This window comes from Homo sapiens, chromosome 7, assembly GCF_000001405.40.
Source record: "Homo sapiens chromosome 7, GRCh38.p14 Primary Assembly".
Classification (NCBI taxonomy): Eukaryota; Metazoa; Chordata; class Mammalia; order Primates; family Hominidae; genus Homo; species Homo sapiens.
The window spans coordinates 44,826,615-44,851,464 of record NC_000007.14 but is presented as its reverse complement, the minus strand read 5'-3'; the positions used below and the strand labels follow the sequence as shown (position 1 = coordinate 44,851,464).

Below are 24,850 nucleotides of genomic sequence, written 5' to 3'. Positions count from 1 at the left end.
TGTGTTTACAGTGATGATATAATTTAGTGATGATATATAAATCAGTGAAAGGATTACTATTATCTACAATGAGAACCAGTCTTTTTCAACCTAACTCCACTTTCATCAAAATCTGAATCAATGACATGAAGGCTGAGGGGTAGAGAGTGGTGAGAAAATGATTTTCCTGTTAAGGAAGGAAGTTAACATTTATTGGATATTATGTGCTAGGTACAGTGCTAGGTGCTTTCTCATACATTATTGGACACTTCTTTCAGCCCCCCTTCACAAGGGCAACTCTTCTTTTTTTTTTTTTTTTTGAGATGGAGTGGAGTCTTGCTCTGTCGCCCAGGCTGAAGTGCAGTGGCGCAATCTTAGCTCACTGCAGCCTCCGCTTCCCAGGCTCTCCTGGGCCCAGGTGATTTTCCTGCGTCAGCCTCCTGAGTAGCTGGGAATAACAGGCATGCGCCACCACGCCTGGCTAATTTTTGCATTTTTAGTAGAGACAGGGTTTTGCCATGTTGGCCAGGCTGGTCTCGAACTCCTGACCTCAGATGATCCACCCACCTTGGCCTCCCAAATTGCTGGGATTACAGGAGTGAGCCACCACGCCCAGCCTGCATGCTCTTTGTGGACCACCCACACCAGCTAAACTACATTCCCTGTTTCTCTCTTAAAGCACCCTGTTCTTTTCCTTCAGCACACTTGAACTTATTATAATTCACATATGGTATTTGTTTATTTCTTTAACATCTGACTCCCGCTGCAGAGGACCACAAGGGCAAGGACAATGTCTATTTTGCTAATCACCAAATCCTCAGTACCTAGCACAGTGCCTGCAAACAGTAGGCACTGAGTGATTTGTTAAAGGAATAACTCACAGGCTTATGCCTTGGTAGATTGGTAATGCCATCCACTGAGGCCAGAAACACAGAGGAGCAGGAATTAACAATGGCTATTTTTACTGAAGTAACTCCACTCTTCTACCTAGTTTTGAGGCTTCTATTAATCTGGGCACATTGCTCCATTCCTTCCTATTTCACTGGACACCCTTCCTCACACTTGTCTGTACCTTCATCCGTATTTTTCCAAATTCTTACTTAGAAGCTCACCCTCTTCCTCTTCTTGAATTTAAGTTACCTTTTTTTAAAGACTCACTTCCCCAAAGTTGCTTCTCCTGATTCAAACTTTGGAACAGCTATCATCAGCCTGGATATAAATTTCTAAAGTGCCAGCCTGGGAAAATCCTATGACAACAGAATCTCCACTAAGGCAGAAACTTGTTTTTTTCACTATTAACTCACCAACACCAAGAACACATTCTAGCACAGTCAATGCATCATACTGTGAAAAGAATGAAAGAATTTAAAGCTGGAATGAGTTGGAACAAATGTGAGCTGGTATCTTGGTTATCTACAGGCTATGCGGTCTCAGGCAAATGACTAAGTTCACCTAAGCCCATTTCTTCAGTTATGAAATGAAGCTGGCTCTCCCAGAAAGCTCATATTGTCCAGACTGTAATAGAGATGATCATGATAGGGTGATGGGCCTTTTTTAATTGTGGAAACAGGCCAGGCGCGGTGGCTCACGCCTGTAATCCCAGCACTTTAGGAGGCTGAGGCGAGAGGATCACTTGAGGTCAGGAGTTCAAGACCAGCCTGGCCAACATGGTGAAACCCTATTTCTACTAAAAATACAAAAACTAGCGGGGAATGGTGGTGGGAGCCTTTAGTCCCAGCTACCCAGGAGGCTGAGGCAGGAGAATCGCTTGAACTCAGGAGGCGGAGGTTGCAGTGAGCCCAGATCACACCACTGCACTCCATCCAGCCTGGGCAACAGAGTGAGACTTCATCTCAAAAAGTAAATAAATAAATAAATTGTGTTAACACTGTGGAAGAAAAACGATCGCTGGAGAGCCTGTGCACTCACATACATCCTTTAATTTTTACAACAGCTTCCGGGGGAAGGCGATTCCACTTTAGAGCTTTTCTTCCTTTCTAGCTGGGAGTTATCCTCCAAATTTTAACCTAATGATGTAAGCAAAATAAACACACTGAAGAGGTTGAGAAAAGAAAAACGGCTCACAACAGTCTGAGCTCTGTGAGGTCTGCAAAATGTATTAGGCCTAGAGGGACATGAGTATGGGACTTCGGTTATGCCCACCCTCTGCCCCCACATACACACATACCCAATCCCATGCATACCCAATTGTTTAAAGTCATTTCATTCCTGACTATCGGCCTCATCCATTACCTTTTTTTTTATTATTATTTTTTAGACAGGGTATATTCTGTCTCCCAAGCTGGAGTGCAGTGGTGCGATCATGACTCACTGCAGCCTCGACCTCCTGGGCTCAAGAGATCCTCCTGTCTCAGTCTTGACAGTAGGTGAGGCTACAGGTTCGCGCCACCAAGCCGGCCCCATTATCTTCGTGTTCTTAGAATTTGTAATACATGCCGGGCGCGGTGGCTCACGCCTGTAATCCCAGTACTTTGGGAGGCAAAGGGGGGCAGATCACCTGAGGTCAGGAGTTCGAGACCAGCCTGACCAACACGGAGAAACCCCGTCTCTATTAAAAATACAAAAGTTAGCTGGGCATTGGGGCGCGCGCCTGTAGTCCCAGGACTCCATCTCTAAAAAAGGAAAAAGAATTTGTCATACAAATAACAATATGTAGCCAATTGATAGCTTTTGTTTTTGTTTGTTTGTTTTGAGACGATGCGTCGCCCAGCTGGAGTGCAGTGGCGCGATCTCGGCTCACTGCAACCTCCGCCTCCGGGGTTCAAGCGATTCTCCCGCCTCAGCCTGCCGCGGACCTTGTCAGGGTCCGCGCTGAGAGGACGTCAGGGTAGTCAGTCCGCCAGAATACGGCTGAGCATGAGGCCTGCCTAACCTTGAAACCCAGCGCCCTCCTGATCCACACGTTCTAAGACGAATAAATCCTCACAGTCTGTGAAAACCCACCAGGAGAAGCACGTCCAACACTCTTTACCTCCCCAAACAAGTCTCAGAAGCGGGAAAACCAACGCCGCGAATGGGCGGGAAAGCCACAGCGCCTGCAATCGCTTCACCTTATTAGCTAATTTTGCTGTCCTTCCCAGTGGCCCGCCTCCCTTGCTCGCGGGCGATATTTTTATTGGCTTTCGTCTGCGAGGCGTCCAATCTCATTGGTTTGCCTTTCTGTTCGTCAGGCTTGGGCGCCTGGTGAAAGGCAGAGAGCGCGTCACTATTGGGGCTGGAGGCCCCGCCTCCGCGTGCCGTGTGCAAAAACAAACAGCCGTTAGGAAGGCGGTGCCGGGGGGGCGGGGTCTGGCTAGAAGGAGGCGCGCGATTGAACAGCCGCTGGGGTTCGAACCAGCAAGACAAGCGGGCATTGGCCACAGCAGCGCGAGGCGGGCACGGGGTATTGTCCGGCTCCGGCGGCGGCGGTCGGTGCTGCGAGAGCGGCGGCGGCGGCGCGGGTCGGCAGCGGGAGGGCGCGCGGCCGAGCGGAGGCGGAGTCGGCGCCGAGAACATGGTAAGGGCGGCCGGGTGGGCCGGGGGCACGGGGCCTGGGAGAGCAGAGCGCGGAGGCCCTGGCGTCGGCGCCGCTACCTGTGGAGTCGGGAGTTTGCGGGTGTCTGGGCTTCGTCCGGCCGAGCCCCTCGCCGCCCGCCGGGGGGCGCCATGTCCCAGCTGCGGAGCCCGACACGGGTCCCCGGGTGAGAGCTGGGCCTGGCCGGGTAGAGCGCGAAGTCTGTTCCGAGCCGGATAGATCTGTCCCGACGCTTGTGACGCTGCACCGCCCGTCTTAGAAGGAGGAGGACGGCAGAATCCGGCTTGGAAATGTAGAAACAAGTGCTGGATCTTAATGTGATCGCTTCTCTGTATGAATGAGGTCAAACAGGCTGCCGCTGTACAAGTTAGATAAGTCTTTGGCGATGTTTGGTTACGTAATCTCCCTGGCAGTCAGTTTGAGGGTTTCTGCGAAAGGGTGCTTGTATTTGTGGTCTTTTGAGCGACAAAGAATGGTTTTATAGACCAGAACCACACGATTTGTTCTAGGTGATTGCACAGGTTAGAAATGAACGCCCGTTATCTTCTGAGCCCCTTGCAGTTTGCGGTTTTCATTATACAACAGTACTTTCCTTTGCCCTTGCTATGGATTTTCAGTCTTAAAGTATTCATCTTTTCATTCTGAAATTCAGATCTAGATAAGAAGAGTGTGGCTTTAAAAAAATGAAAGTGAATAGAACTTCAGCCCCATTTTAAAGTTGAGGGGAAAAGAGAAGGTGCTAAAGGATACGCTCTGAGTTGCATCAAAGATTGTGTAAAAATAATAAGACTGTTATGGAATCTTATTTTTGCCGGTATTCGTGCTTTAAGCATTCTGTTGAAAGGTTACTTCAACGGGAGCTACCTGCTTAAAAGTTAGCACCAAGCTGTCATTTATCATACTGCAGATAGTATTAGATGATTTGTCTTGTGCTTGATGTGACAGATATGGTATTGAATAGACATAACACCTAACTGTAAACAGATTGGCCAGTCGAGAGGACAATGTTTGGTTATTGTAAAATACCCAAATCTTAGAGCTGGAATAGACTTTAGGGATAATTGCTTCCAACGTCTAACGTATAGTTTATTGTTATTGTAAAAAACCCAAATCTTAGAGCTGGAATAGACTTTAGGGATAATTGCTTCCAACGTCTCACGTATAGTTTATTGTTATTGTAAAGTACTTTATAGTACTTTATCAAACTGAGGTACAGCTTACATCTAATCTGTAAAAGGATTTGCTCAAACAGATGATTTTCATGATTCTAGTTTTTTGTGGTTTTTTTTTTTTTTGGTTTTTTGTTGTTTGTTTTTTGTGGTTTTTTGTGGTTTTTTTTTTTGAGACGGAGTCTCACTCTGTTGCCAGGCTGGAGTGCAATGGGCGATCTTCACTCACTGCAACCTCCGCCTCCCGGGTTCAAGCGATGCTCCTGCCTCAGCCTCCCGAATAGCTACAGGCGTGCGCCACCACGCCCTGCTAATTTTTTGTATTTTTAGTAGAGATTGGGTTTCACCATGTTGGCCAGGATGGTCTCGATCTCTTGACCTTGTGATCCGCCCCCCTCGGCCTGACAAAGTGCTGGGATTACAGGCGTGAGCCACCGCGCACGGCCAATTCTAGTTTTTCAGATATTTTTCAATCTCTAGTGATACGCTATATGTTTTATATCCACTTACCAGTAGCTAAAAATACATAAGTATTAACATAAGCTAAAAATGCAGGAGACATTGAGTTGTCGTTCTTGATAGATTTTAAACCTGAGAGGAAGTAAGCAGATGTCTGTTAAAACTGACATGAAAGTGTCTTAGTATCCAGTTTGCAAGTTTATCCAAGTAAAATGAACGAACTCCTACTTCCTCCTCTCTCTCTCTCTCTGTCTCTCTCTGTGTGTGTGTGTGTGTGTGTGTGTGTGTGTGTGTGTGTAATTTTTTAAAACCAACAACCTTAACTCAGGTTAATACGAAGTCAGTTCTTGGAATTAAAAAATTTAGATTTGGGTTCTCAAGCACCAATTATATTAAAATGAATGTTCAAAGTAGGGAGGCTATATATACAGTTTGAGGGGATATCGGAAAGAAAGTAATTATCCATTTATTGTATAGTTTTATATTCAGATAAGTTTGATACCATAAAAGTTTTCTTTTGTTAAGTATGAGAAATGTATCAGGAATCTCTAAATGTTGGAAATAGTCATTTAATGGATTGAGGCTTTTAAAACCTGACTGTATGTCTACTTCCTTAAAAAGCAAATAGAACACCAAATATGACATATCTGAAACAGTGAGGATAAAATTGCTTAAGCAGAGTAGTTATTATATGACCTGGGGAGCCTGGGGAATTTTGTAGTTGTTGGCTTTTTATTAGTGACTACTTCTTATTTTTTCCAATCCAGTCATAGGAAGACAGTGATTATAATTTTAGATGCCAGTTGAGAGGTTTTTAAGTGTTATATATTAGGGCAAATGGAGGTAACAAGGGTTTTTTATTTGAGAAGTAAGTAAGACTGTCTTGTTAGTGGAGCTGACCTCAAAAATCCAAAAATTGTATTTTTCTTATATAACAACATAGTCAAAAATTATTAAAATATGAGGCATTCTGGTAGAAATAGAGAGCGTCTCAGTTCTTACTGGTAAACTTAAATCAGTCTCTTGTTGAATTACCTAATATAAGAGAGTGAATATGAATTAGTTCTTAGATTTTTATTTTTCCTGTTTCTGATACCTGCCAGGGTTTTACTGTTTTTCTTCCATATTATCTTGGGTGACACGCACTTAATCCACTTAGACGTGCAATTAGAGGAAGTATACAGGGGTAATTTTTAGCTTTAAAAAATTTTTAAGGAAAGGGTTAGCTACAAAGGGGATATGCCATTTCAAAGCTTACCATCTATTTTGAAAGAATAGCCCCTCAAACAGCCAATCTTGTAAACTGATTTCTTTTTTTAACAGTAAAGAAATAATCTGTTTAAATGGTAAAAGCAAAATATATGAGAGAAAATTAGTTTTCTTAAGTCAGACCTTTAGTATTTCCTCCCGAGAGGCAAATAACATTTCTAATTTATTGTGTCACCTACTAGAAATACATGTGTACACATATACTCTATAATACCCCATATTTACTTAAAAGCTCATTACATTGGCACATACTTTGCCTTTTTCATGCAGAAATAGGTTTTTTTAAAGCGTACAGTTCAGTGGCATTAAGTACATTTATAGTGTGCAACCATCACTGCCTTCTGCCTCTAGAACTTTTTCATCTTCCCAAGTGGAAACTCTACCCATTCAACAATAACTCGGCCAGGCGCAGTGGCTCACGCCTGTAATCCCAGTACTTTGGGAGGATGAGACAGGCAGATCACTTGAGGTCAGGAGTTCAAGACCAGCCTGGCCAACATGCAGAAACCTTGTTGGTACTAAAAATACAAAAATTAGCAGGGCATGGTGGCGCGCACCTATACTACCAGCTACTTAGGAGGCTGAGGCAGGAGAATCACTTGAACCCAGGAGGCAGCTACCCCTGGCAACCACAAATCTGCTTTCTGACCATGAACTTTACTATTTTAGGGACCTCATAAGTAGAATCATACAGTATTTGTCTTTTTTGTAACTGGCTTATTTTCCTTAGCATAATGTCCTCAAGGCCCATTCATGTTGTAGCTTGTGTCAGAATTTCCTTTTTAAAGCTGAATACTATTCCATTATATGTATATCATTTTGTTCATCCATCATTGGACACTCAAGATTGTTTCTACCTTTTGGCTATTCTGAATAATGCTTCTGTGAACGTGGGTATACATGTATTTGTTTGAATCCTTGCTTTCAATTTTTAGGTGTATACCTAGAAGTGGAATTGCTAGACTATATGACAATTCTGTGTTTAATTTTTTGAGGTTTTTTTTTTTTTTCTTGGAACATGCTTTATTTTTCTGAGAGCTAAGTTCTAAATATTTCTGTGGAAGTAATATATGTTACATTGACATTGATAAAAATTGTGAAATATTTCATGTATGCATAAAAGTTATATTGACTTGCAAGATTCTTTAATCTGGAAATTGATAAATATGTTTGTTTTTAAAAATCTCATATTTTTCAGCCTGGCACTGTGGCTTATGCCTGTAATCCCAGCACTTTGGGAGGCCTAGGCGGGCGGATCACTTGAGGTCAGGAGTTCAAGACCAGCTTGGCCAACATAGTGAAACCCACCTCTACTAAAAATACAAAAATTAGCCATGTGTGGTGGTGTGCGCCTGTAATCTCAGCTACTCAGGAGGCTGAGGCAGGAGAATCGCTTGAGCCCAGGAGGTGGAGTTTGCAGTGAGTCAAGGTCGCACCACTGCACTCCAGCCTGGGCAACAGAGCTAGACTCCATCTCAAGAAAAAAGAAAAATATTTTAAATAAGTGTTTAAGGTTTGATTTCTTTGATAGAAATTATAAAAGGTGATAGAATCCCATGTATATTTACAAATGAGGAAGGGGATCACCTACATATTGTTAACTACCTAAAGTAAAACTAGAAAAAATTCTGTTTCCAGAATATTTTTGAAGTAGTATTTTCAACTCTTTTCATTCAAAAAAATTTTTTTTTGCATTTAGGCTGGAGGCAAAGCTGGAAAGGACAGTGGGAAGGCCAAGGCTAAGGCAGTATCTCGCTCACAGAGAGCTGGGCTACAGGTAATGAATCCATGCTGTCATTACATTATTATTTTCTTTACTGTTGTAATTTATGACCTATGTTTCATCAATTACAAAAATCTACTTGTATTACTACAGACTTTTTTTTTTTTTTTTTTTTTTTTTTTTTTTTTTTTTTGAGACAGAGTCTCACTCTGTCGTCAGGCTGGAGTGCAGTGGTGCAATCTCGGCTCACTGCAACCTCTGCCTCCTGGATTCAAGCGATTCTCCTGCCTCAGGCTCCCACATAGCTGGGACTGCAGGCGTGCGCCACCATACCCAGCTAGTTTTTGTATTTTTAGTAGAGACGGGATTTCACCATGTTGGCCAAGATGGTCTCAATCTCTTGACCTCGTGATCTGCCTGCCTCAGCCTCCCAGAGGGCTGGAATTACAGGCATGAGCCACCGCGCCTGGCTGAGAAACCCTTTTAATCAGGAAGGCTAAGCTGTAAACTGTTATCCTCTTGGCAGTGGTAAGCCATTGAGAGTTTGAGCCAGAGGACAACATTATCCAGATGATACCGAAAGAAGGGGGATGGGAACTTAAACTGATATGCACATTCTGTATTTTAGGTCTCCATGTATATTCCCAATTAGAATTTATTTTAAGGCATACTTAATTTGAAGTAGAAAATGGAAGGCCAATGGAGGTTTTTGCAGTGGTTTAGGAATAAAGTAACATACTTGAATGGGAAGGAGTAGAAAGCATGTGTGTGCAGAAAATAGGTGAAGCAGTATAAGGTTGAGAGAAAGTCACAGGTTTCTCTAAGGCTTAGAACCTAAGGAACAGAGGAGTTTGTAGTAGGGGCAAGTTATGAGTAAATTTAAATGGAATCATTTTGAAGTTCACTAAAACATCCATGTGAAAATGTCCAGAAGTTGGAAACATGAGTTCAGCTTTCTAATAGAGGTGATAGAATTAGGAATTTGAGATCATTTATGTAAAATGGATAGTTTATGTTATGGATGAGTTTCCTAACCTAAGAGAATGAGAAAGGAGCACAGGGACGTTGGTGGACCCCTGAAAAACTTTAAGAAAAGGCTGAGGAGTAGTCAGACTTGGTATGAGAACTCTGAAGTCTAAGATGAAATGTTTTTGAGGGCCTACTGTATGCCAGACAACATACTGGTTACTAAGGATACAAAGGAAAAGAAGACATAAATCTTGCCCTTAAGAAGCTTTTGGTCACTTAGAGATGAAGTATAAATGCAAAAAAAAGATTGCTTGTTTTTATTAAGGAAGTAAAATGTCACTGCTGGCCTTCAAAGGTCAAGTTAGGGTTAGGAAAAATGGGTGACAAGGAAGTAAGGGTTTCAGGATTTGTTTTTTCAATTCAGTCTTTGGAAAGAGACTGTCTAGACTGTAACTGGAAGCAGTTTTCATAGATTGTGAAGTTTTCAGTAAAGTCTGTAGAAGGAAAGGAACCAGCGGAAAGGAAGTAATTGTAGCTGTTGAAATAATGGAGCAGTGAAGGGTTGAGGGAGGCCTGTAAGAAAGGCACAGACTGGCGGGGCACAGTGGCTCATGCCTGTAATCCCAGCACTTTGGGAGGCTAAGGTGGACAGATCACTCAAAACCCTGTCTCTACTAAAAATACAAAACAGCCAGGCGTCCTGGCGCGCCTATAATCCCACCTACTCAGGAGGCTGAGGCAGGAGAATCGCCTGAACCCGGGAGGCGGAGGTTGCAGTGAGCCAAGATGGCGCCACTGCACTCCAGCCTGGGTGACAGAGTGAGACTCTGTCTCAATAAAAAAAATAATAAAGGGCACAGACAAGTGGGATCAGGATACTTTGAAATGAGAAAAATACCCTCTTTTTCAGAAAGTAGAAAGAACCACAATGAGATAATAGTATTGATTTTTCTTAACTATCAGATCACCTCTTGAAACTGAAGAAAGAACATTTAAGATCTGAGGAAGGTATTGGAGGTTCAAAGTTGCATGTGGCTATTATGTGAAGAAATTAACTAGATAGGAATTTGATCCATGGGTCATGTTGAACGTACAGTTGATGACAGCCCAGCGTGGTATTTCTTCATTTTAGAGTGATATTTCCCATATTATGCAGAGGTTAAAGATTTTGGACAGATTACCAGAACAGAGACACAGGCCCTGGGAACTATTGATGCGTAATAGGTTTGGCTTCTGATATGTGTGATCAAGTTTTTTATTATTTCATGCTTACATTGTTCAGCCTTTGATTACAGTCAGTGCAATGTTAAGACTCTGCAGTGCTTCCCACTAAGACATCTCTCTTTTAGTTTCCTGTGGGCCGCATCCACAGACACTTGAAGACTCGCACCACAAGCCATGGAAGGGTGGGTGCCACTGCTGCCGTGTACAGTGCTGCGATTCTGGAGTACCTCACTGCAGAGGTTTGTACAGGAATGTCTGTTGTATATGGCCATCCAGAAGGTGCACTAGTCTCAGTGACAGAAACCCATGGAATATATTTGAAAAAAGACATATTATGCTCACTGGGGCTTTTTTGTTTGTTTGTTTGGAGACAGAGTTTCACTCTTGTTTCCCAGGCTGGAGTGCAATGGCCAGTCTCGGCTCACTGCAACCTCTGCCTCCCGGATTCAAGCGATTCTCCCACCTCAGCCTCCCAAGTAGCTGGGACTACAGGTGTGCACCACTGTGCCCAGCTAATTTTTGTATTTTTAGTAGAGACAGAGTTTCACCATGTTGGCCACACTGGTCTCAAACTCCTGACCTCAGGTGATCTACCTGCCTCAGCCTCCCAAAGTGCTGAGATTACAGGCTTGAGCCACCACGTCCGGCCTCATTGGTTTCTTTAATAGCAGTTTGAGATGCATCTTGTCAGCTATTACCCAATGCCAATGTAAAAGAACCTTGGTGTACTTGTTTTTAAAGCTAAGCAAGGGGCTGGGCACAGTGATTCACGCCTGTAATGCCAACACTTTGGGCGGCTGAGGTGGGTAGATTGTACACTTGAGTCCTGGAGTTCCAGACTAGGCTGGGTGACAGAGCAAGACCCTATCTCAAAGTAAAAAAATTTTTAAAAGTTAAGCAAGGGCCAGCAATCTCTTATCTTTTATTTTTATTTTTTTATTTTGAGACTGGGTCTCACTCTGTCACCTAGGCTGGAGTATAGTGGCATGATCATAGCTCACTCCAACCTCAAACCTCCTGGGTTCAAAGGATCCTCCTGCCTCAGCCTCCCTAGTAGCTGTGACTTCAGGTGTGTGCCACCACACCTGGCTAATTATTTATTTATTTATTTATTTATTTATTTATTTATTTATTTTGAGACAGGGTCTTGCTCTGTATCCCAGGTGGAGTGCAATGGCACAATCTTGGCTCACTGCAACCTCCACTTCTTGGGTTCAAGCAATTCTCCTGCCTCAGCCTCCCCAGTAACTGGGATTACAGGCACCCGCCACTACACCCGGCTAATTTTTGTATTTTTAGAGGAGACTGGGTTTCACCATGTTGGCCAGGTCAGTCTCAAATTCCTGACCTCAGGTGATCCACTTGCCTCAGCCTCCCAAAGTGCTGGGACTACAGGTGTGAGCCACTGCGCTGGGTGCTAATTTTTTATTTTTATTTTATTTATTTATTTTTTTTTGAGACAGAGGCTCGCTCTGTCACCCAGGCTGGAGTGCAGTGGTGCAGTCTCGGCTCACTGCAACCTCCGCCTCCCGGATTCACGCCATTCTCCCACCTCAGCCTCCCGAGTAGCTGGGACTACAGGCACCCGCCACCACGCCCGGCTAATTTTTTTTTTTTGTATTTTTAGTAGAGACGGGGTTTCACCGTGGTAGCCAGGATGGTCTCGATCTCCTGACCTCGTGAGCCACCCACCTCCACCTCCCAAAGTGCTGGGATTACAGGCGTGAGCCACCGCGCCCAGCCTATTTTTTATTTTTTTGTGGAGACAGGGCTCCCTATGTTACCCAGGCTGGTTTCTAACTCCTAGCCTCAAGTGGTCCTCCCAAGTTGCTGGGATTACAGACATAAACCACCATACCCCAGTGAACTTTGAAGTATGTATGTAATCAGTAGACAGTATTTGTGAAGTTAGAGCATAATGTTGTAGTTTATGAAGATTTGGGATGATGTAAAGTTTGGCCAGTGTGATGATATATAAAAATCACAAATATGATAATAGAAGTAAAAGACTCAGTCTGTCCTGGTTCTCTGCAGGGTTATACATACAAAATTGCTGTATATTACTCAGTTTGAAATTTCAGGAAGACAAGTTAATTGGGCAAGAGTTCTTGGGTCACAGACCACCACTTTCCCCATCCCTATTCCTCCTTTAAAAAAATCCGTTGGGAAGTCATAAAACTTCAGCTACATTCCAGATTGGGGAAGTAATTTGAGTAACAAGTAGGTCAAGTGTAGACGCATTCATTCTGGTGGAAACAGAAGGGTCTTACTTGGGGAGATGTGATTGGGAGCTAGGCTGAGGAATTTAGCTTTTAATCTGTATGTCAGTTATCATTGCTGTCATTTATTTCATTAGTCTCACCAAGTCATCTGTGTCCCACTGGGGATTTAACATCGAATTATGGATGTTATGGATAGTTTCAGCTTCTCTGTGTCATGATCAAGGGGTGTTTTGTTTTTGGGGTTTTTCTTGTGTGTTTGTTTTGAGACAGGATCTCTCTCTGTCTCCCAGGCTGGAAGGCAGGGACATGATCTCTGCTCATTGCAACCTCTGCCTTCTGGGTTCCAGTAATTCTCCCACCTCAGCCTCCGGAGTAGCTGGGGCTACCGGTGTGCATCACCACACCTGGCTAATTTTTGTTATTTTCTTGTAGAGACAAGGTTTTGCCATGTTGGCCAGGCTGATCTCGAACTCCTGACCTCAAATGATCTGTCCGCCCCAGCCTCCCAAAGTGCTGGGATTACAGACATGAGCCACCTTTTATTAAAAGAGGCCACCTGGCCTCTTTTATTTTTAAAAATTTTTAAATTTTAATTAAAATACATTTTAAAACTTTTCTATAAGCATTAAGAAATAAATTTCACGGCTGGGCACGGTGGCTTACGCCTGTAATCCCAGCACTTTGGGAGGCTGAGGTGGGCAGATCACGAGGTCAAGAGATCGAGACCATTCTGGCCAACATAGTGAAACCCTATCTCTACTAAAGATACAAAAATTAGCTGGGCATGGTGGCGTGTGTCTGTGTATAGTCCCAGCTACTCAGGAGGCTGAGGCAGGAGAATTGCTTGAACCCAGAAGGCAGAGGTTGCAGCGAGCCGAGATCGCGCCACTGCACTCCAGCCTGGCGACAGAACGAGACTCCGTCTTAAAAAAAAGAAAAAAAAAGAAATTTCAGCTATTAAAGGTTCTGCAGAAATAGACCACATAGATATATTAAAATATATGACTTTGGCTGGGTGTGGTGTCTTACATTGAACATTGTGGTTCACAAGGTTCAAGCCCCATCTATCTAAGCCCCCCCCCCCTTTTTTTTAAATCTTTGGGAACTTTGGTTAAAATTTTTAAAGTTTACACAGTGGCTCATGCCTGTAATCTCAGCACTTTGGGAGGTCAATGTGGGCAGATCATTTGAGTCCAGGACTTCCAGACCAGCCTGGACAACATGGCAAAACCCTGTCTCTACAAAAAAATACAAAAAATTGACCAGATGTGATAGTGTGCACCTGTAGTCCCAGCTAGTGGAGAGGGTGAGGTGGGATGATTACCTGACCCAGGAGGTTGAGGCTGCAGTGAGCCATGATTGCACCACTGCACTCCAGCCTGCATGACAGTGAGACCATGTCTCAAAAAAAAAAAACAATTTAGGTTAAGATTGGACAATGAATGTGTGGGTGCAGTCAACTTTTTTTTTTTTTTTTTTTTTCTTTTTTTTTTTTTTGAGAGTCTTGCTCTGTCGCCCAGGCTGGAGTTCAGTGGCTCAATCTCGGCTCACTGCAACCTCCACCTCCTGGGTTCAACCGATTCTCCTGCCTCAGCCTCCCAAGTAGCTGGGATTACAGGCGTGTGCCACCACACCTTGCTGATTTTTGTATTTTTAAAGTTCAGCAGTTGATTCTCCTGTATACCCAACACTGCTCTATTTAAAACGAGGAGGTGGCCTGGCGTAGTGGTTCACGTCTGTAATCCCAACACTTTGGGAGGCCAAGGCGGGCAGATCACAAGGTCAGGAGTTTGATTTTTTTATTTTTTTTGAGACGGAGTCAAGGTCAGGAATTTGAGACCAGCCTGGCCAATATGGTGAAACCCTGTGTCTGTTTTTTTTGTTGTTTTGTTTTTTGTTTTTGTTTTTGTTTTTCTTTTCGAGACAGAGTCTCGCTCTGTCGTCCAGGCTGGAGTGCAGTGGCGCCATCTCGGCTCACTGCAAGCTCCGCTTCCTGGGTTCACGCCATTCTCCTGCCTCACCCTCCCGAGTAGCTGGGACTACAGGTGCCTGCCACCACACCCAGCTAATTTTTTGTATTTTTAGTAGAGACAGGGTTTCACCGTGTTAGCCAGGATGGTCTCGATCTCCTGACCTCATGATCCACCCCTCTCGGCCTCCCAAATTGCTGGGATTACAGGTGTGAGCCACCGCGCCTAGCCGAAACCCCATCTCTACTAAAAATACAAAACTTACTCAGGCATGGTGGCAGGCGCCTGTAGTCCCAGCTACTCGGGAGGCTGAGGCAGGAGAATAGTTTGAACCCGGGAGGTGGTGGTTGCAGTGATCTGAGATCACACCGTTGCACTGCAGCCTGGGCAACACAGCAAGACTCCATCTCAAAAAAAAGAAATTATTTTAAATTATATTTTAGGCTGAGTGCGATGGCCCAGTACACCTGTAATCCCAGCACTTTGAGAGGCTGAAGTAGGAAGATCACTTGAGGCCAAGGGTTTGACACCAGCCCTGGCAACATAATGATGTCCCATCTCTTTTATTTTTAAAAAATTTTAAAAATACATTTGAAAACTTCTAAAAGCATTAAGAAATACATTTCAGCTATTAAGGGTTGTACAAAAATGGTCTACAAGTATATATTAAAATATATGACTTTGACTGGGCGTGGTGGCTCACACTTGTAATCTCAGCACTTTGGGAGGCCCAGGTGGGCAGATCATTTCAGCACAGGAGTCTGAGACCAGCCTGGGCAACGTGGGGAAACCTTGTGTCTACAAAAAACAAAAATACAAAAAAGCCGGGTTTGGTGGCGCTCACCTGGTCACAGCAGCTCAGGACGCTAGGGCAGGAGAATAACCCTGCACTTGGGAGGTCAAGGCTGCAGTGAGCCAAGATCACACCACTGCACTCCAGCCTAGGCAATGGAGTGAGACCTTGTCTCAAAAAAAAAAAAAAAAAAAAAAGACTTTTCTAAATGTTCACATCTGGCATCTTGGCTAAGGGGTAATATCTCCTGTCCTTACCTTTATTTCTATATAGAAGTGGGTTTTTGCTCAAGTTTGTGTCTCTGTTGCAGAGAATGAATATAAATGAAGTTAAATGAATTAGAGCTTTATAAAAGCATTATAGAAATACAAGAAAGAAAAATATATTATCAGTTTATGTATTGTGTGTGCATTTTGTATGTACAAATGCTAAGTGATCCTTCATTTGGGATCCTAGGTCCTTCATTTGATATGCTAATCATGGATGCTTTGTAGGTGCTGGAGCTGGCAGGTAATGCTTCTAAGGATCTCAAAGTAAAGCGTATCACTCCGCGTCACTTGCAGCTTGCAATCCGTGGTGATGAAGAGTTGGATTCTCTTATCAAGGCTACCATAGCTGGGGGTGGTATGTATTACTACTTAAGCCTTGATTCTTATTGGTCTTTCTGACTAATATATCGTTCAGATCAATGATATAGTATATTTGATCGGTTAACTAGAAAGCATATAAACTTTAATTTCATAAATACTAAATCTATAACAATTCTAAGCTTTTCATAATGATCTGAATAAATATTTCACCTTCTAGCCATATGTAATGCTATTTTTATTTTAGCCAGTTCTTTGTCTAAATTTCATATGATACTTAAAGCCTGATGTTTAACATATTTCCCATACTTTTTTAACTGTGTTTGAAAAATGAGTTGGAGAAGTTGCATAACATACACTGGAAAGGGTTGAAATAAATACACTTGAAAAGTGGGTCAGGATCAATGAAAGTGAGAGGTAAGTTGGTGGTTCTTAATCTTCTTTGGATAACCCTCAAAGAACCTCGTGAAAGCTGTGGTTACAGCTGGGCACGGTGGCTCACACCTGTAATCTCAGCACTTTGGGAGGCTGAGAGGCCCCGGATCACCCGAGGTCAGGAGTTCAAGACCAGCCTGGCCAACGTGGTGAAACCCCATCTCTACTAAAAATACAAAAATTAGCTGGGCGTGGTGGTGCACACCTGTAGTCCCAGCTACTCAGGAGGCTGAGGTAGGAGAATCACTTGAACCCAGGACAGAGGTCGCAGTGAGCCAAGATTACACCACTGCACCCCAGCATTGGCGACAAAGTGAGGCCATCTCAAAAAAAAAAAAAAAAAAAAGCTATGGTTACTCTTCTCAAAAAATGCACGGAAAGTCACACAATTTTACATACAGTTTTAAAGGGTTCACAGACCCCTGGGGTGTAGCCATTGGTATAGATAGTTTAACAGTATCAGAATATGAAAAGGGACTTAAGTAAATTTCATTTTTTCTATAATTAACTTTTTACTTGAGGCAAAAACTTTAAAAGTTTTTAATAACTTTTTTAAATTTCATTCTAGGTGTGATCCCTCACATCCACAAATCTCTGATTGGAAAGAAGGGACAGCAGAAAACTGCTTAGAGGGATGCTTTAACCAACCCTCTTCCTCCCCGTCATTGTACTGTAACTGGGACAGAAGAAATAATGGGGATATGTGGAATTTTTAACAACAGTTAAATGGAAAAGCATAGACAATTACTGTAGACATGATAAAAGAAACATTTGTATGTTCTTAGACTCGAAGTTTGATAAAAGTACCTTTTCATGTGGTGACAGTTGTGTGTTGATTGGCTAGGTTTCTCCCGTGTGTTTTATACAAAAATGGAATTGATAAACCATTTTTTACAAAATTAATTTGTCTCAAAACTGTTCTGTTCATGATGTATTAGAAATATTTTACTCAGACTTTAAATATTTTAAATCTCAGATTGGTTATTCAGAGTAACCTTAGAACAGAAATTGGGAATATATCTTTACAATGATTGATACCATGGTATATTGACTCTTAGATGCTATTGATCTGTAGCACCATTTTTTACAAACGACTAAGGAAAAAACCTGCCAATTAAATCATGATATGCCATCAATTATGAGACATCCCAATTTGAGAGATGTTAGATTATAGAAAAGTATGCATTTATGACTGAAATGGTAGTGGAATTATTTGAATTCTACACCAAGCACTTACCATGTGCCAGGCCCTTTGCAGAGTGCTCTACTGACCAAGAAAGTTGTTGCTGCCACATTATAGATGTGGAGCCTAAGGGTCACAGAAATTGTGTGCTATGCCAAAAAACATTGAACTGGTAGATAGAAAATGACAGAGCTAGGATTCAAACCTAGATCTGGCTGACTCCAGAGCCTAGTTTTACCTGGAATTGATGTTCAGTTTATCAAAGGTTTCTCCTTTTGGTTTAAAATCCCAATTTTTGGCCTGGCATTGTGGTTTACGCCTGTAATCCCAACACTTCGGGAGACCGAGGCTGGTGGAACACTTGAGGTCAGGAGTTTGAGACCAGCCTGGCCAACATGGTAAAACGCCGTCTCGGCCAGGCGCGGTGGCTCACGCCTGTAATCCCAGCACTTTGGGAGGCCAAGGTGGGTGAATCACGAGGTCAGGAAATCGAGACCATCCTGGCTAACATGGTGAAACCCCGTCTCTATTTAAAAAAATACAAAAAATTAGCCGGGTGTGGTGGCACGCGCCTGTAGTCCCAGCTACTCAGGAGGCTGAGGCATGAGAATGACGTGAACCCGGGAGGCGGAGCTTGCAGTGAGCCAAGATGGCGCCACTGCACTCCAGCTTGGCGACTGAGCAAGACTCCCTCTCAAAACAAACAAAAAAAAGTCTCTACTAAAAATACAGAAATTAGCCAGGCATGGTACACACATGTTGTCCCAACTACTTGGGGCACTGGGGCACAAAAAATCACTTGAACCCAGGAGGCAGAGGTTGCAGTGAGCCAAGATCACGCCACTACACTCCAGCCTAGGTGACAGAGTGTGACTCTGTCTCAAAAAAAAAAATCCCAACTTTTAGTAGTCTCTTAGTCATGCAATAACAGTAATTTGTACAATCTTTTAAAAATTATATTTATTTATCAGTTTCTAAGAAACTTTTTTGTTTGTTTTGAGACAGGCTCTTGCTCTTTTGCCCAGGTTGAAGTGCAGTGGCATGATCCTGGCTCACTGCAGCCTCCACCTCTCAGGCCCAAGCAATCCTCTTACCTCAGCCCTGCAAATAGCTGGGACCACAGGCACATGCCACCATACCTGGCTAATTTTTTTTATTTATGTAAGAGACAGAGGTCTCCCTATGTTGCCCAGGTTGGTATTGAACTCCTGGCTCAAGCCATCCTCCCACCTTGGCCTCCCAAAGTACTGGGATTATAGGCATAAGCCACCATGCCCTGCGCTAAGTAACTGTTACTTGAGTTAATGTACTAGTTAATTGACCCTTAGAAAATTATATTTTTCTGCTTGCAAGTCTTCATTAAAGAAGGAAATTTTAAAATATTTTATAGTATAATGCTATCCAAACTCATTTTTAAAAACATTTTATTATGGAAATTTTCACAAATGCACAAAAAGAATAGCAGAATGAAGCTCTGTGTACCCATCCTCCAACAGCTGTCCTGTGGTCAGTCTTGTTTACCTGCATCCCCACCTATCCCCTGCCCCAACCCACAGGGATCAGTTTGAGTCCCATTAACAGGCATAGTATTTTCATGTCTGTGTGATCAGAGACATTCAAATATAACTCCAAAGATAGGGTACTTTTTTGAACATAACCACAATACCATTGTGTAAGACTGCTAAAACATTTTTTGATGCCAAGTACCAGTCAATATTCAAACTTCCTGATTGTCTCGTAAGTTTTTTTTAACAGTTGGTTTATTCGAGTCAAGATCCAGGCAAGATCTAGATCTTGCATTTTGTTAATATAATCTATAGATTTAACTTTCCTGTTTTTAATTTTTGAAGAAACTAAGTTGTTTGTCCTATAGAATTGTCCTTCAGTGGATTTTACTGAATGTATCCTAATGGGATCATGTACACCTTTTCTGTCCCCTATATGTTCTATAAACTGACAGATCTAGAGGGCTTCTGTTGTTCTGTTTTGCTTTTTCACAAAAATAATTCATAGGTGATATATGCTCCATGTTGTATCACATCATGGCACATAATGGCTCTCATCTTGTAACATTAAGATTGATAGTGGGTTTGGATGCTGCCAGCCCACTCCATTCATTACAAAAGTTCTCTATCAGCTTTTCCCCTGATGGATTTAGCCATCATTAATGATATTTGCCCACATCTGGGATTCCATTAGAGGTTGCCAACCAGTGATATCTTGTCATTCCTTCTGCATCTATTAGCTGGAATCCTATAAAGAACTTGTGCTCATTAATTCACGAGGCAGGATAAAATAGAAATTTCAAATTCTGATTGAATAGGCGCCCATTTTGAAGTTTCTGTATTGAGAGTCAGGCCTACAGTAAAAGTAGCAATAGAAAGCTGATTGTTTGAAAAAAAAGAAGCGGGGGGGGGAGTGCAATATAATCAACAGACTTTCCTTTGGCTGAATCACTTGATTCAGGGCAATTTTTACTACAGTTTTATAGATAATTGCTTCAAATGTCTAATTCATTTTGATAGTATAGTTACTTGACTACATAATTTCTTCCCAGGGTTGTATTTTCAATTTGTTTTCTAACAAAAAACATAGAAATAGAACAACTAGGTCATGTACTCTGGGCTTAGCTCTCACAGTTATGATCAGTCTCGTTTCATTTGTACCCAACCCCTTGAGTTATTTTAAAGCACGTTCCAGCTATCATATCACTTCATGTATAATATCTTAATACGTATCTAAAAGATAGCTTTTTTATGTTTTATTTTATTTTTATTTTTTCAGACAAAGTATTACTCTGTCGCCCAGGCTGGCATGCAGTGGCACAATCTCAGCTCACTGCAACCTCCACCTCCCAGGTTCAAGTGATTCTTCTGCCTCAGCCTCCTGAGTAGCTGGCATTACAGGTGCCTGCCACCATGCCTGGCTAATGTTTGTTTGTTCTTTTGTTTTTGTTTCTGAGACAGGATCTCACTCTGTTGCCTAGGCTGGAGTCCAATAGCCTAATCTTGGCTCACTGCAACCTCAGCCTCCCAGGCAACTGGGACTACAGGCATGCGCCACCATGCCCAGCTAATCTGTGTGTGTTTTTTGTTTGTTTGTTTATTTGTGTAGTAGAGATGGGGTTTCACCATGTTGGCCAGGCTGGTCTCAAACTCCTGACCTCAAGTGATCCACCCGCCTCAGCCTCCCAAAGTGCTGGGATTACAGGCATGAGCCACTGTGCCTGGCGTAGAAAGTATTTCTTATAATTAAAAACAACACCCAGTCTAACTAGTATAACACCTAAAAAATTGTCAGATCTGTATTTTAGATAGTACGACACAGTGAAATGCAATGGCACTTAAGCAGAGAGAAGAAGGATTTTTCTTTTTCTTTTTTTAAATAGAAGGTGTTAGAACCTGAACTGGGCCTGGTTTGCATTTGGGAAGAGTCCAGTGGGGAAACAACACAAATAAGGTCTTGAGAATGAAGAATTGCATTTATATAGGGAGTTGTAACAAATGGCCTGGAGAGTATCTGACTCTTTATGAAACATTTAATGAGAAATGTGACTTGCTTTGGTGCCTATGGTTGAATTTGTTGCGATGCTTCTGACATTATGAAAATTTTCAAACATGCAAAAAAGTTCCAGTAGTTATCCAGTGAATTCTTATACTCACCACCTATATCTATAGTTAACATTTTACTTGTATTTTATCCAGTTATCAGCTCATCTATGAGATGGCCCTTATTTATTTGCCTGCTGTTTTTATTCTCTATTTGTCCTGTTATTTCTTGTTAGAGAAGAGAAGGTGTTCTTAGATCAGAAGATGCCATTGTATTAGGTGACGGCAAGGTTTTGCTGATTTAGTGGAACAAGATTCTACTGGGATGTGTGCTGAGCTGAACCAAGGAACTGCCCGAATGTGCTGAACAAGGACATTTGCTTCTCAGATACGTGAATTCAATTTTAAGCAAGATTCTTGATCTGCTTCAGAGCAGCTTTGATTTAAAGTAATTTCAGAGCGCTTTTCCTTGCATGAGTAATTTTCTGAATGTATAAAATATTCTATTTATGTTTGACCTTTTGGATAAACTGTGTTGCTGCAGTGTTGGTCCACACTACCATCCTAAGTGAAGACTTAGTAAGTCTGAGGATCTCCAGGCACTGGAAAGAGTGAGAACCTGGGAGTGAAAGGGTTATAGTTAGTGTTCATTTTTCGGGTTTTGTTTCATAGGGAGTCCTGAGTGGGGTAACCTGAAATGTTTTAACAGTTGAAGATCATCCTATTCCTATCCCCAGTAAAAATAGGCCTTTCCACAATCTTCTACCAGTTAACTTAGCTTTTTTTTTTTTTTTTTCCTTTAATAGAGTCTCATTCTTGTCACCCAGACTGGAGTGCGATGGCACGATCTTGGCTCACTGCAACCCTCCCTCCCGGGTTCCAGCGATTCTCCTGCCTCAGCCTCCCAAGTAGCTGGGATTACAGGCGCACGCCACCATGCCCAGCTAATTTTTGTATTTTTAGTAGACGTGGGGTTTCACCATGTTGGCCAGACTGGTCTCAAACTCCTGACCTCAGGCGATCCGCCCGTCTAAGCCTTCCAAAGTGCTGGGATTACTGGCAGGAACCACCAGGCCCAGCCAACCAGCATTTCTTAAGGTGAAAATACATGGTGTTAATTTATATTTTGAGTGAGACCCAGTCCAGCTGCTATAACTGCTTGGACACTTGGCAGAGGACAGAGTACTGCAAAAGTGTCTAAGGGAGACAGCATTTTGCCTTGGGTGCTGTAGATGTACAAGAGAGGTTCCAGGAGGGGGTGATAGGCAGAATTTTGGTCCCCATCACCTTCCCTGCCCAGTGTTATGCCTATGAATGTGTTACATTATGTGGTAAAAGGGACTTTGCAGATGTAACTAAAATTTCTAAAATAGAGATATTATCCTGGATTACCTGGGGGAACCCAGTGTAATTACATGAACCCTTAAAAATGGAAGAGGATGCAGGAGTCAGATTCAAAGGAAGGCCCAAGGTGCTATTGCTGACTTGAAGATAGAGGGGCCATGTGGAAATCAAGAGAAGGAAGTGAATCCTTCCAGTGAGCTTGGAAGAAAGCACCTTGAGGCACAGATGAGAAGCTTGGCCTTACCTGATGCCTTGATTTTAGCCTGGTGAGACCCTGAGCATATAAATTTGCTGTGCTATGCCACACTTCTCACCTACAGAAACTTAGTTTAAAGCCACTAAGTTTGTGGTAATTTGTTGGCTTTAGGCCCCTGAGGGTAGAGATTTATGGCTTGTGTTACAAGTAGAGAGCAGTGGAGAGTTGGGCTTTGTAATTCTTTCAAGGGTGATTGTAGTTCTGGAGTCCTATCTACCTGGGTTCAGATCTTTGTTGGCCAGTCCCTGGCTGTGTGACTTCACTGCTTTAAGCCTCTGTCTTCATCCTTAAAGTGGTGATGATAGTACCTACCTCACTCTGATCTCTGAATGAGAACACATGTAAGACACTTAGCACAGTTCCTGGTGCTCAAAGAGTTCCAACACCTGAAAGCACCATGGCCCTGTTTGTTTTTCAGTCAAGATTTCTAAAAGCCGTTATTACCAGAGGTTCAGTGAGAACATGGGCAGGGTAAACTCAAAATGGAGAACATAAAAACTGGGACTCCCAGACCAGTCACTTAGAAGACTGCTGCAGGAAGTACCAAGGTCGTTAAGAATCAGTAATAATAATAAGTAATGTGTGAATCCATTAGAATGTTGAGAAGTAGACCTTTGACATTTCAGAAAAATGTATATCTCAGACACAGCCATATGTATTGTTATCCCTGAGTTGGAAGAGCATCACAGGGCATAGTTTCACAAAAGCTTCAAAAAATATACTAATTGCTGGTAATATGTGAACTAACAGAAAAAAATAGCCATGTTAAAATAGGAGTGCCTGACAATTAGCTCTATTCATCTTGTCTCCTAGCTGTAAGCACCCTAGATTCAAATTATGCACCTAGAAAACTAAATTACTATGTATGTTATAGGCCTTTGAAATGGATACATGAAAATTAGTGAAATCAGAATGAACGTTTCGCCTGCCAAAGATATGTATTTTTATAAGTGATACAAGGGCCCCATGAGCTCCATGGCCACATCTGTACAAAACAGGCCCTCCTTTCAGGAACTGGTCTCGAGAGAGCAAAGGGGTCAACTCCCTAAATGGCAGCTGAGACAGTCCTCCCTGGTGGCATGGCCCTGTTTCCTGTTGATATGGTGATAGTTGGAGAGTCAAATTTTTACCAGAATTTGTGAATATCATCTCTGGTTAATGATTACACAAAACCTTTTAAAATTTTAAAAAATTATTTCTAATTCTATAAATAAACTCTGCAGTTGTACAGCCACTGTACAGCTAACATCTCAACACTGGAAATGAGGCTGGTTTCTTCCAGTTTGGCTCAGATTCTTCAGGGAAGCCCAGTTAAGACAAACAGCTCTCTATACTCAATCCTTACTTTGCTGAGAAGATACAGGCCTGCCCACTCGCTCCCACCTGCTCTTCACGAGGAGTCCTTTATTCCTGCATGTTTCCTGTTCTTTGGGACCTTTAGGAGCTAACCTCCACAGATGCTGATAGTCTGTAGAGTCAGGAATACCATGTAACATGTTGAAGTAGACTAAAGATTAGTTCTTTGGCAATAGCCCAGTCTGGACTTACTATGTACTTTTGAAAATAAAACTGCTTATTTGTAAACTCTGTAATTAGGACCTTTTGCTATTTGAGTTATATTCCTTTCTAACTTCAAACGTCTGCATTCATGTATAATAGCCATTTTATGCACAGATGAGGTGATTCCCACACTTTTTTTCGCAGATGTTTCATTATCTGGATGAGTGTATTACATAATAAATTTGAATAATGGTAGTCTTCCAAATGACAAAAAGCAAGCTAGTTGATTTGTCAATTTTGAGTTTAAATGTTTTGACTGCTTATCAGCAAAAAAAATCAAAGAATAGCATACTAATATTAATGGAAATGCAGAGTATATTTAATTGGCATGATTTTTTCATGGATGTGTGCTTCATTTGATCTATTGTATGTAGCTCGTGATCACATTTTCTGTTGGTTAACATTGTTCCTAGCTTATATGATGGAATTAAATATATTCTGTGTAAAAAGAGGTATGGACTAAATATTTCTGGACGATGGCTTTCAGCTTTAGAAACTCTGAGAAAGGGCTGGGTGTGGTGGTGCACACCTGTAGTCCCAGCTACTTAGCAGGCTGAGTAGGATTGCTTGAGCCTGGGAGGTCAAGGCTGCAATGAGCTATGACCATGCAACTGCACTCCAGCCT

General features: G+C 42.4%; 1 protein-coding gene and 1 long non-coding RNA gene across 7 annotated transcripts, besides 4 other annotated features; one reads left to right on the top strand and one right to left on the bottom strand.

Annotated features, from left to right (window-relative positions):
* Positions 1-1,899: 1,899 nt before the first annotated feature.
* H2AZ2-DT (H2AZ2 divergent transcript) lies at positions 1,900-2,994 on the bottom strand. Of its 2 annotated transcripts, NR_187580.1 has the most exons (3): positions 2,944-2,994; positions 2,233-2,612; positions 1,900-2,006 (listed from the first exon to the last, which is right to left on the bottom strand). It is a non-coding gene; the product is annotated as a H2AZ2 divergent transcript (long non-coding RNA). The 2 variants fall into 2 exon arrangements; NR_187581.1 differs by lacking the exon at positions 2,233-2,612.
* Positions 2,679-3,237: an enhancer, noted in NCBI's record as "NANOG-H3K27ac-H3K4me1 hESC enhancer chr7:44887827-44888385 (GRCh37/hg19 assembly coordinates)". NCBI's record gives its function as "activates a minimal SCP1, AML or CMV promoter by ChIP-STARR-seq in naive H9 embryonic stem cells {active_cell/tissue: H9 hESC(naive)}" and the evidence as "EXISTENCE:reporter gene assay evidence [ECO:0000049][PMID:30033119]".
* Positions 3,043-3,102: a silencer, noted in NCBI's record as "silent region_18156". NCBI's record gives its function as "represses an Ori minimal core promoter by ATAC-STARR-seq in GM12878 lymphoblastoid cells {active_cell/tissue: GM12878}" and the evidence as "EXISTENCE:reporter gene assay evidence [ECO:0000049][PMID:35858748]".
* Positions 3,238-3,795: an enhancer, noted in NCBI's record as "H3K27ac hESC enhancer chr7:44887269-44887826 (GRCh37/hg19 assembly coordinates)". NCBI's record gives its function as "activates a minimal SCP1, AML or CMV promoter by ChIP-STARR-seq in naive H9 embryonic stem cells {active_cell/tissue: H9 hESC(naive)}" and the evidence as "EXISTENCE:reporter gene assay evidence [ECO:0000049][PMID:30033119]".
* H2AZ2 (H2A.Z variant histone 2) lies at positions 3,339-24,576 on the top strand. 5 transcript variants are annotated; one of them, NM_138635.3, is made up of 5 exons: positions 3,339-3,496; positions 8,111-8,188; positions 10,453-10,566; positions 15,807-15,936; positions 21,302-24,576. In NM_138635.3, the coding sequence occupies exons 1-5, from the start codon at positions 3,494-3,496 to the stop codon at positions 21,319-21,321; spliced, it is 345 nt and encodes a 114-aa protein (NP_619541.1). In that variant the 5' UTR covers positions 3,339-3,493; the 3' UTR covers positions 21,322-24,576. The 5 variants fall into 5 exon arrangements, with proteins under 5 accessions (NP_619541.1, NP_036544.1, NP_958844.1 ...); NM_012412.5 differs by lacking the exon at positions 21,302-24,576 and adding an exon at positions 16,903-19,487 and having other exon boundaries at positions 3,378-3,496; NM_201436.3 differs by lacking the exons at positions 8,111-8,188; positions 21,302-24,576 and adding an exon at positions 16,903-19,487 and having other exon boundaries at positions 3,378-3,496.
* Positions 3,363-3,752: a silencer, noted in NCBI's record as "silent region_18155". NCBI's record gives its function as "represses an Ori minimal core promoter by ATAC-STARR-seq in GM12878 lymphoblastoid cells {active_cell/tissue: GM12878}" and the evidence as "EXISTENCE:reporter gene assay evidence [ECO:0000049][PMID:35858748]".
* Positions 24,577-24,850: the final 274 nt, after the last annotated feature.